This window comes from Homo sapiens, chromosome 9, assembly GCF_000001405.40.
Source record: "Homo sapiens chromosome 9, GRCh38.p14 Primary Assembly".
Classification (NCBI taxonomy): domain Eukaryota; kingdom Metazoa; phylum Chordata; class Mammalia; order Primates; family Hominidae; genus Homo; species Homo sapiens.
The window spans coordinates 610,734-622,816 of record NC_000009.12 but is presented as its reverse complement, the minus strand read 5'-3'; the positions used below and the strand labels follow the sequence as shown (position 1 = coordinate 622,816).

The 12,083-nt window shown below is 40.9% G+C and overlaps 1 protein-coding gene across 39 annotated transcripts in view, besides 1 other annotated feature; it reads right to left on the bottom strand.

The window, feature by feature from the left end:
- The window catches only part of KANK1 (KN motif and ankyrin repeat domains 1), a 275,809-nt gene that overhangs the window by 123,287 nt on the left and 140,439 nt on the right, over positions 1–12,083 (bottom strand). For 6 of the 39 annotated variants that reach the window (XM_047423041.1, XM_047423067.1, XM_047423060.1 and 3 more), the window contains one exon: positions 11,252–11,341. The exons of the other annotated variants lie outside the window; for them this stretch is intronic. The gene's annotated coding sequence lies outside the window, so the exon portion shown is untranslated. The remainder of the gene's footprint in view (positions 1–11,251; positions 11,342–12,083) is intronic. 39 annotated transcript variants of the gene reach the window in all.
- Positions 281–1,480: an enhancer, noted in NCBI's record as "BRD4-independent group 4 enhancer chr9:621337-622536 (GRCh37/hg19 assembly coordinates)". NCBI's record gives its function as "activates an origin of replication core promoter dependent on BRD2, P300/CBP, MED14 and CDK7 cofactors, and independent of BRD4, by STARR-seq in HCT116 cells {active_cell/tissue: HCT116}" and the evidence as "EXISTENCE:reporter gene assay evidence [ECO:0000049][PMID:35650434]".

Here is a 12,083-nt window from a genome sequence, read left to right as displayed (position 1 = left end):
CATTCTCCTGCCTCAGCCTCCCGATTAGCTGGGATTACAGGTGCTGCCACCACGCCTGGCTCATTTTTTGTATTTTTAGTAAAGATGGGGTTTCACTATGTTGGCCAGGCTGGTCTCAAACTCCTGACCTTGTGATCCGCCAGCCTCAGCCTCCCAAAGTGCTGGGATTACAGGCATGAGCCACTGCACCCGGCCTCTTACAGTTAAGTCTTAATCCATTTCAAGTTGATTTTTGTATATGGTGTTAAGGGTCCAATTTTATTTTTTGGCAGGTGGATATCCAGTTTTCCCAACAGTATTCTTCGAAGAGACTGTCCTTTCCCCCATTGCGTATTCTTGGCACCCTTGTCAGGATGCTTCTATGCAATCCTCCAGGTACGTACTAGATCCATCTGACATTTAGGTCATTATGCATTTATCATTTACTCCCACTGGATTTTAAGCTTCTTTCCAGGGCAGTGACCATGACTTATTTATCCTGTAGCAGTCTTTCACCACACCTAGAGCAGTGCCCCAACACACAGCGCTTAAGAAGAGCATGAAGTGACAATATACACAGATTATTAACTTCTTTGTGCTCCAAGGGAAGTCTTTTATGGATACTAAAAGTAGAAGTCATTAGTTCCAAATAAATTTAAACAGGTTTCAGGTATTCTTCTACTGACCGAAATTAGACCATTCCTTGTCCCCCTTTTCCTTCCATCCCTTATAAATTCCCATGACACAACAAACGAACAAAAGCTCTAAAAGTAGACTGTTGTATGAAAAAGACCCTGAACCTATCAGTTTAAAGAAAACCTGGAAAAATTTTTAATGAAAACCAAACTTAGTATCTTTTCTTCTCCTCTTCCCTCCTTCCTTCCCAAGAGGCTTCGGCAGCACCAGGGCTCCCCAGAACAAACCAAAGCCCTTTGGTGGAGCATTTGGATTTCATCTCCCATCTGGACTGTACCCCTTCCACCGGCGAGGGCAAAGTTCACATGTGAAGTCTACAGAGTAAGATGCCATGATGGGTAATGTGGGGATTCAGGAACAAGCGAGTGAGTAAGCAGGGCTGGAAACTGAGATTTGAGCTGCGTTTGTGGTAGGCTCTGCTTACGAGATGGGAGGGCAACCCATGCTCTTGCTGAGAGCGAAGGAAAGAGGAACTCACCACTGGCTGGAGGAATGTCCACTCGTCATGGGAAGGCAGAAATGGATTATCAAGTTTCAGACTTAGAAAACAAAGAAAAACTCTAATTGCGGACATTCCTTGCAGTTTAAGATCAGGGTAAATATACCAATACAAAATTACTGGGGTCAAAGGCTTTTGTATGTGTGGTTTTTTCCCGCAGTAATGGGTCACTTGATCAGAAATCCCTGTGTGAACTCACTTTTTTTTGGTAATGATGACATGAGAATTTCCACACTTGCCAAGTCAGTATTACGTGGAACTGAAACCAGACTCAGTGCATATGAAGACTTTGCTCACACTTGTTTTTACTACAGTCAGCAATGCTTCATAAGGCCAAATTTAATGATGTAATTTTGGCAGAGCTAATATAAATAGCTCAAAATTATTAATTTACTTTTGGTTGCAATTATTAACCAATATGTATGTTATGTGATAGCTATCAGTTTTCTATTTACCTTTATTAGGTGAGGCCCCAAAGAAAAATTTTTAGCTAAATATATTAGGTTCTCCAAAGGGTCAGGAAAGGAGCCTGAAAACAGAGAAGAGACTGAATTGAATAGCTTAGATTTCTAGTACTGGGCATTCTGAAAGCGTTTTGGCAATTTATCCCCTAAAAAAGAATTTAGATCAGATGGGAGATAATAAATTAGAGAATTTGATTCAAGAGGCTTAACTCTGGTTAATCAAATGATGACTAATTTCCAATCTGGAATTTGATCAATTAGTAAACTGGTACCCCAAAATTGGTTAAGAGTAAAATTGTTAAGAGGGCTGTAGTCATTTTTAAAAGAGATGTTATTTCTTATTCCCAATCAAATCTTATATTGCTGAATTCTATTATGCTCCAATATTAAATTTTTAAAAGTTGGCTTTTTAAAAATTGGTTTTTAAAATTGGTTTTTGAAAATTTAAAAAGTTGGTTTTTAAAAATTTTTTTAATTTTTAAAAGTTGGCTCACGCCTGTAATCCCAGCACTCTGGGAAGCCAAGGCAGCTGGATCATGAGGTCAGGCATTTGAGACCAGCCTGGCCAACATAGTGAAACCCCATCTCTACTAAAAAAATACCAAAAAATTAGCCGGGTGTGGTGGCAGGCGCCCGTAATCCCAGCTACTCAGGAGGCAGAGGCAGGAGAATCGCTTGAACCTGGGAGGTGTAGGTTGCCGTGAGCCGAAATCACGCCATTCATTGTTCTCCAGCCCGGGTGACAGTGCGAGACTCCGTTCCAAAAAAAAAAATTATAATTATCACTATTTTGCTTTTCTCGCAAAGAATTACGTGTTGTTTACTATGGCCCAAGAAAGCAGGTTTTATTTAGGGGGCAGATCGTTGAAGAGTTAATGTCCTATTCCAAGACAGGGTGGGAAAGGAATGGATGTGATTAATGACACTGAGTAATAGAGGGTACGATGCACATTTTGGAAGACACCAGTGTACCTGACAAAGTTTTCTTGCCTGCCTAGACCTGAAATAGACAACTGAGAATACAACAAAACAATTTTTTTTTTTTTTAGATGGGAGTCTTGCTCTGTTGCCCAGGCTGGAGTGCAGTGGTGTGATCTTGGCTCAACCTCTGCCTCCGAGGTTCAAGCGATTCTCCTGCCTCAGCCTCCCTAGCAGCTGGGATTACAGGCGCACACCACCACACTAGGCTAATTTTCTTATTTTTAGTAGACACAGGGTTTTGCCATGTTGGCCAGGCTGGTCTCGAACTCCTGACTTCAGGTGATCTGCTCGCCTCAGACTCCCAAAATGCTGGGATTACAAGCGTGAGTCACTGCACCCAGCCACAACGAAAGAATTTAAACTAGCTAACTCTGCTTGGAAAAACAATCTCACCAGTGGAAGAGCCTGTTTAAAGTATTTAAAAATCATTGCAAATTATTAATATTTTAATGTTTCAACATCTTAATATAGGAATGTATTGCATATTAAATCCTTGAAAATTACAGTACGGCTGATCTACGAACATCTGCATTCTGCAGTCCGTGAGCACCCACAAGTCAAAGGTAAACTTTCTTGTGGATCATCACTTATCTTTATCACTCACTAGATGAATGCTGAAGAGCTATTATCATTATACAGTAGCAAAACTGGTTCCAAAAGAATGATGAATTCAGCTATTCTGAACTAATGTTGGCTCTTCTTTGCGTTAATACTCCCATGTTTTCAAAATTTAAAGCAACTGGGCCACCCAAATCTGACGATAGGCAAAGGGACAATTATACTCTACCCATCCCAAGAAAGAAGGTGCTCTCACATCAGCCTGTCCCTGATGCTGCTGCCCTAATTTAATACTGCTTTGTTCTCTTGCCCCCTCTTCTACCCAACTAGATAAACTAAACAGTGTGATGGTTTTAAGTACTGTGTGGCTTGAAATATAACATTTATACAAACTATTCTTGAGGCACAAATAAGAGGCCTCTCTGAAATTCAAAAGCACTGTAGCTCTCCCCTGTTCCTTTTAAGTATTGGCTGTAAAGCAAGAACTGAGGATTCAGAACTACAAGGAAGCTTTTAACTGACCTGGGTAAGCATTTAAAAAGAGAGGCTTGTACTTAGTTATGGCCATTTTCTCTCCTAAAGGTCCTGTGGATTTTGACCAACAGACACTAAATTTAAGTTCATAAAATGTAGAGTCCACATTTAAAAACATTTTCTTAAGTCACAAGGTGCCTGAAAATAAGTAGTGAGGTTATTTTCTCTAATTTTCTATTTTTCTTCTTTGACAAGTTTTATTCTCTGTTTTAAGGCTCGTGAGGAGCCATGGATTAATAAGGTGGAGACAATTTTGCCTCAAGACAGGTATTAAATGTCAGCGATGAGAGGAGAAAACACCGCCTGTTCACCCAGTGTGCAGGAGCTTTCTTACTGAATGGAAGCATCACTTCCCAAATGACCAGTTTGGATGTTGTGGTTGGAGACTTTTTTTTAAAAAAAGCAAGCCCTGGCATTCATCATCATTTAAAAAAATAATTTCACGAATGTCTACTGTGCATGTGAAGCAGTGATTCAGATGCCTAGGAGTGAATATGTTTTTTTAAATGATGCAATCTTTGCTTTAAAAAAAATTGTTCCGATAAGTATTTTGACTAAGAGAAAATATCTGTTTCTTCATTTTAAAAATGTAATCTGGGGCCAGGCATGGTAGCTCACGACTGTAATCTAAGCACTTTGGGAGGCTGAGGTGGGCAGATCACTTCAGGTCAGGAGTTTCAGACCAGCCTGGCCGATATGGTGAAACCCTGTCTCTAGTAAAAATACAAAAATTAACTGGGTGTGGTGGCGTGTGCCTGTAGTCCCAGCTACTCGGGAGGCTGAGGCAGGAGAATTGCTTGAACCAGCAGGTGGAGGTTGCAGTGAGCTGAGATCACGCCACTGCACTTTAGCCTGTGTGACAGGGCGAGACTCTGTCTCGTAAATAAATAAATAAATGTGATCTGGAATTAGAATAGCCTGTATTTTCTTCAATGAATGCCATAATTTTATATTACATGGGCTTTAACCTGTATATTTTGTTCTTGGGAATACTTTTCCTTACCTAAAGGAAGCAGAATTCCGTGGGTACTACTGAAATAACCTTCAAGATACTGCCTTGTGTGCAGGGTAAATTATATTAGGAGGCAGGTAGGCCAAACTGATTTTTTTGGTAACTGCCCACAGTAAGTGTGGCATCCAGAGAGTGGTTCCATAAATGTTACTGAGTCAGGATTCATGTCATCCTCCATTCTGCCCGCACCCTCTTTCAGTAAGAAATTCCATTCTATAAATACGTGCTTTCTTTTTCACAAAAGACAGAAGTCTTACATGGAGCCTACTCCTATGAGAAACCTGAGCAGGAAAGAGGAAAGTGGAAGAAGCAATCTGAAGTGTGCACATGCACGCGTCACAAACTGGCCTGCTGATCGGAATGTCTGCTGAGGAAGAGAGGTGCAGACTGTCAGCCTATCAGCCTAAGTTTACGGTGGGAAAATTTCAGCCTGGGAAGTAACTTTTCCTGCCCACCCATATTGGTGTGCCTCCCCCAACAGCCAGGTGAAAGAAGAGCAGCTGGCTCTTGATCACCATCAAGTAGCTGTAAAGGTGATACTGGGCTCTGCCTGCCAGGCTGCCTTCAGGGTCCCAAAGAACAAAGCTCCAGGGTCCTGAACCTCTTTGGCCAGACAGCAAAAGTAACTACTTCTTAGACTAAACAGATAAACCCGTGTGAACATGAGCTAACATTTTTGAGAAAATAAGGGAATAAAACATAGGTTTTAGACATTTGCCACAACCCCCCTCCTCCCCAATCCTTCTCCTAACCAATTCCATTTATCCTTTGAAGACAAAAGACATGTCTGGTTTTGAAAAATAAATGTTAAACAAGGAAGGCAACGAGTGAAGTTGTAGAATACAGATTGTTAAAGAAACTAAACCACTGCCAAAAGAACTGGACTCAGTAAAATAACATTAAGGACAGTTCAAATATACCATAAACTCTTTATTATATTTTATTAGACATAATGATTCCTTGCAAGAATGAAAAAAAAATCGACCTAACTGACCTAACATTCACTTACGGTAGTATATTAAAAAAAAATTATTCTCTCTTAGACTACTGAGATCTTCTAGAGAAGGGACTGCATTTTAAACATGTGGTAGATTACATTACTATTCACCAAAATTTCCTGCTCCTTCCTAAGGAAGAATCACATATCCCCACCCTCACTCAACTCGGGTGTGGCATTGTGACTTGCTTTAACCAATGAAGTGGTAGCAGAAATACCATGTCTCACTTCCAGGAAGAAGTTTTAAGGGCTAGTGTGGAACTTTGCCTTGCTTTCTTTCCTTCCTCTGCTATAAAGAACAGCAGCGACATAAGCAGAGGCTGCTCCATCACAGGTTGAGGTCAACACTGAACACAGCTGCAGCTGACAAATAATGGACGTGTAGCATATGAGTAAAAAAATCAGTGTGTGTTGTTGAAAGCCACTGAGATTTGGGGTCTTGCAGAATAATTACTATCTTGATTGATAATGAGTGGCTTAGAAAGGACACTTAGTAAAGCCAAGCCTGGATGGAAGGATAGAGGATATAAAGTATTCAGAAATTCCAGTGGTGAAATTTGGTAGGTATCAAGTGAATATAAATGAAATATTTCTTTGATTTATATGTGTAAAGACAGCAGCTTTTAGCTTAAATGACAGCTTGGAGAAGTGACAAAATAGAGGTTTCGTAAATTAAAGATCTGGCTATGCAGTTTGATGGTAATTTAAGTGGTGTTCAGGATGTCCATTCTAATAATCAGCACAAGATCTACTATCTTAAATCCAAGTTGCTTCAGACACGAGTTGATACAGTATCACCTAAATGCTGAGGACTCACTGAAGTGACTGCTGAAAAGCCTTCACTTTAGTCCTCACGGTTATGTCATGCAATAAGGTAGGACCGGATAAAATTTGGAAGTCTAGTAACCCAAGCCAGTTCCTAAGTTTACCTAAACCTGAAAATTTCATCTTGTTGATTGAAACTCTTCAGCATTAAACATTTCTTTATTGAGCTTCAGTGGATGTGGTGCTCGGCTGATGCTGGGTGGGGAGGTGACACTGGTAGGACGGATACAGAAGAGTCCCTGTTGATCCTTAATATGAGAAACCTTCCTTAGGCTTTCATGCCTCAAGAGGCTTGTCTGGGCAGGCAAATGGCATCAACACAGCTGTTGAACATATGCTATCAGCTGGCACCACCTTTGGATCCTGGCATACCAAGGACCAGAAGTAGGCCAGCATTTTTCCACCTGGATTCAGCAGTTGTTTTCCCTGTTCGTTCTTTCATTCCTCATGGGTCTTTAGCTAGGTTAGGTATCACTTGGGATCTCCTCTACCACTATCTTCTGTCTTTAAATGTCAAAGAGAATATATAACATTTGTTCTTCATGTCTTGGACTTTATGGTGATCTAATATCCAGAAGCTGGTGTTAACTGGACAAATGCAAAGACCAACCAGGGAAAATAAACTGAAAGCACACCAATTAATTAAGTCTTTACCTAAAGGATATACTATGGGACTGACTCTGTGCTAGGTACCACAAGAACAAGTGGGAATCAAATTCCAGCCCTTGAGTAGCCTTTTTAGTCTATTTGATAAGAAAAAGAGAAAAGAAACAACATTATTCCCCCTCTTCTTAACTAGCATAATTTTAAAATGTGGGTACTCAAACCATCACAGGTAAGGCTTTCTCCCACCCAGTGATACTTCTGTAGAAAGAAAAAAAGAGGGAATTCTAGCAAAAAGGAAGAGCATATGATGCCAGATGGACTAAAAGAGCAAAGAATACAATTCATCAGCAAATTATGTGTCTATTAACAGTTTCAAATAAAATGCAATAAAATATATTTATAGTATGTTGGTATCAAAAAGATGATACTATGCCAGGCGCGGTAGCTCAAGACTATAATCCCAGCACTTTGGAAGGCCAATGCAGGAGGACTTGCTTGAGGCCAGGAGTTCAGGACCAGTCTGGGCAACACAGGGAGACCCTCTACAAAAAATTAAAAATTAGCTGGGTATGGTGGCGCACACCTTTGGTACCAGCTACTCGGAAGGCTGAGTAAGAGAATTGCTTGGGCCCAGGAAACGGAGGCTGCAGTGAGCCATGATTGCATCACTGCACTCCAGCCTGAGACCCTGTCTCAAAAAAAGGGCAGGGGGGGGATGGGTACCATAAAATTATATATGTACAATTTTGTACTATATTAAGAATTGTATGTAGGAGTAATCACAATCAGAATACATATATAAATATGAATGAGCAGAAGTTTAAGGTGATGGGCTGTAGTGATTTTTTAAAAATATAAAGTACATTTATATACATTTCTTTAAAAGATCATGTTCACTAAATCCACAAGGCCCACAACCTACACCAAAATCTCTAGCCCAGCAGTTTTCAACACTAGAGAGTACTGGCCCCACCCCAGGAGGCACACGGAAATGCATGGGAGTGTTACTGGGCAGTCATGTCTGAGGGGCACTTCCGGCATTTAGTGGGCAAGGGCCAGGAATGCAGAATACCCTGCCGCACACGAGACAGTCCCACACAATGAGGAACTGTCCTACTCATAACACCAGCAGCACAACTGTTAAGAGATTGCCACTAGGATAGGACCAAGATCAGTGTCAGCCAAGATATGCTGTAAAAATCCTAAAATTTAACAAAATACCATTAACTTTATGCCAGTATGATTTAAAAATAAATCTTTTTCATTTAAAAAAACTGCAGAAGTATATAATCACTCCTCAAAGATGGAAATGGGTAAAAGATCCTATTACCTGAATAGAGAAAACAATCTCATTTCCTGAGAGAGATCATATTGCTTTCATGCTAGAAACAATTTAAACAAACACTGAGGGTCGAAAAATTATCCCCATCTGCTAAACACACTTTTGTACCTTATCAATACACCATTATCTCACAGCTGGTTTGTGAACTCTTGTCAGTAACTCCTGCCCCGGACTGAAAGTTCAGAAACAAAGAAGCAAGGACAAGTGGCTGGAAACCCTGCAGCCACTGGCATGACCAAGAACTGAGCACTCTGCTGGCCGACTTGCTCCTTGTGAAAAATGGCCCTCCAGTGCCACCCAGAGATGCTTGGAGCGCTATGCACAGCGCCTTCTTCCCGGCCTCAAATAAGAGGGGAGGAGAAAAAGGAGAACTACTCTTTCCTGTAGGGCGCAGAAATGAGATCCTTTATGCTCAGTTAAATGGTCTTCCTACTTTTACCCATGTTTAGTACTTAGGACAGTCACACTCATATTTAACTTCCCAAAAGGCTGGTGACACTGCCATCTAGTGAATACAGTCTTTTTTACAACAGAAAGTCACAAAACTTAAGGGGCTCATGAACCTGTATTTTTAAAGTAAAGTTCAAGAAGTATCCTGTTTTTAATCTCATTTGAAATACTACTTAATTTACATTGAGAAGAGGAAAAAAGTTAGTAATAGAGAGTTTGCTCTCTGTGGATTCCTTTTAGGAATTAGCAAAATTTCAAAAATGAATACAACAGGAGAATGTAAACAAATTCGATTTTCCATACAGCAGGGGAGTCCAACGTTTTGGCTTCCCTGGGCCACACTAGAAGAATTGTCTTGGGCCACAAATAAAATACACTAACACTAATGATAGCTTATGAGCTTTAAAAAAATCTCATGTTTTAAGAAGTTTACAAATTTGTGTTGGGCTGCATTCAAAGCTGTCCTGGGCCACATGCAGCCTGTGGGCCATGGGTTGGACAAGCTTGTCATAAAGGACTGAAGCTCTGCTCTATCTCCAGCAACGATTGTTACAGCTGTACTTGCTATCTAGTGTGCTGTTCACAGCATGGTCCACTTGTCCCTATATGGTGACTACTTGTGCTTTTCTTGAGTTGCTAGCTTACTGAATCTTAAAGATGCTGTGAACTATGTATCTGGTCACAATTACTTCTTTGCCTTGGCTGCTAGGAAGCATGGAGCCAAATTACTGGCCTATTCTGGTCTACTTACAAGATCTTTTACAGTACATGCTACCTCTATCTTTACTCCATATTTCCTCCTCTTGATATCTTCCTTCTGTCCCAATATCTTCACCCACTCATTTAAAAATTTTATTTTGTATGCCCCTTTAATTTGGTACATATAAATAAAACACATTAGTGTTATTTGCTGTGTGTATGATGCTCCTGTTGGGATCCTCTGCATGTAACCATAGGCATATGTATGGCAAATATCACAGGCAAAGGTGATTTGTGTCTTATATGACTCTTAGGGTCTCTTACTACTTCTTGACTCCCCATTAGGAGAGCTGCTGCTGGTCTAAACTGGGGTTCGAAAGAGTGTCACAGTCAAAGGTATTGCTCACATATAACTGCTACCTTTTCCACATTCCATTCCAGTATGGCCGCCTGAGATGTCCGGCTTAAATTTCTAAGCAGCTTCTTCAGCTGAAGGGACTGCTTTTTTAATTTCTCATCCCACAAATCCTGTCTCATTGTTTCTGTACTTTGTCCCATTCCTAGATAGTTGACCTATGTATTCCAAATGATAACTTTTTTTAATATGAAACGTTTTTAACATAAAGGCTTACTAAAAGGCAGAACATAAACTGTTTTAGCAAAAGGCATAAAGATGATGACACTGAAACCCTAAAGGCTGTCTTCAAAAAAACACCGATAATGTGGGATACCTTATCACCATTTCAGCAGACATCATGTCTAAGAAACCGGGCCTACATACTGTTGAACTACATTCATTCCTGTTGAGATAATGACACCCAGTCAGAGTGCATCACTGGGACATCTTAGACTTTGTACTGAATTTCTCTTTCTTATCTCCAATAACTGGCTATTAAAAAAACACAGATTGCAAAAATCACATTCTCAGTCTTACCCAAGAGCCACAACACCTGGCTTTGTGTATTTTCTCTACAGCTGCCAAAAGCACAAAACAACAGATAGTTTCCTATTAACAAAGTGCAATTTAAGAGGCATAGGTGGCTTTGTGTGGGAGGTACTATGGGTAATATGTGTGTTCATTATGCAAATGAAAGCCAATCCTATTTTTAAATGTACTTTTATATGTACAGGCAAGGGCACATAAGAGTTAGATGGTCGGCCGGGCGCGGTGGCTCACGCCTGTAATCCCAGCACCCTGGGAGGCCGAGACTGGCGGATCACAAGGTCAGGAGATCGAGACCATCCTGGCTAACACGGTGAAACCCCATCTCTACTAAACATACAAAAAATTAGCCGGGTGTGGTGGCATGCGCCTGTAATCCCAGCTACTCAGGAGGCTGAGGCAGGAAAATCGGTTGAACCCGGGAGGCGGAGGTTGCAGTGAGCTGAGACTGCACCGCTGCACTCCAGCCTGGGCAACAGAGAAAGACTTTGTCTCCAAAAAAAAGAGTTAGATGGTCAAGGTGATGAAGATTACAAAAATATTACTGGGAAGATAAACTATCAAAAATGCCTGCAAAATAGAATGACACTGTCATTTGACAGTCAGATAATTAGTGTCAAAGGTTCTGAATTTTAGACACACTCCTATCTAATGGGATCGACATACCTATGTTATTAAGAAGTGAAGTGAAATGTAACTTCCTCAGTGGCTTGTTTGGATTCAGCTTCTGTGCAAGGAGCAGGCACTAAGACACATCTGAAAAGCATGAGAGACAGAGGACATGGGCCTTAAGGTTTTTATTCCAAGTTCAATCATTACTTGAGTCCTGTACTTTTTTCTATGTCCTACACTGAATCCTGGAGATAAGTGTAGTCATCCAAGCTTACACATTGGAAATTAAGGCATAGAGTCGGTGAGGAACTGGCCCCGTGGGCTGGGCTCTTGGTTCAGTGACAATTGTCTGTGACTTACTAAAAGATTCTTTAGTTTGCCTGTTGTTTTTAGTAGAAAGCTGTGGGCTGGACCCAATACTAACAAATGGAACTCAGGGGGCTGACAGCGACATCTCTGAAGGCCAAAAAACCTCCTCACATGTCAAGCCAACCGTCCCTTCAGGTCTTGGGGATGGAGATAGGGCTGGCAGGTGGAGTGATAAGGTAACCTAATTATAATAATGCCAGAGTAATAAAGTGAGTGACAACATAAAGGATACAGAAGATGCCTTCTGTCAGAGACAAAGAATTCAAAAACAATCAAATAAAACCACCAAACAGGAGAATACCATTTCATTCTTCTTCTACGGGACTGGGGACGATGTTAACCATTTATAAACAGCACTCTTGCGTACTGGCCTCTTTCCCTTTGCCCAGTCTCAGTTCCCAGAAAAATAACCACAAACATGATCTCTGCCTCTGGGTCTAGAAGATGAAATCAAGTCTCAAAGATACTCAGGTCACAGATGTGCAAGTCTAAAGCTGTCTCAACTAACCCTCCGAGC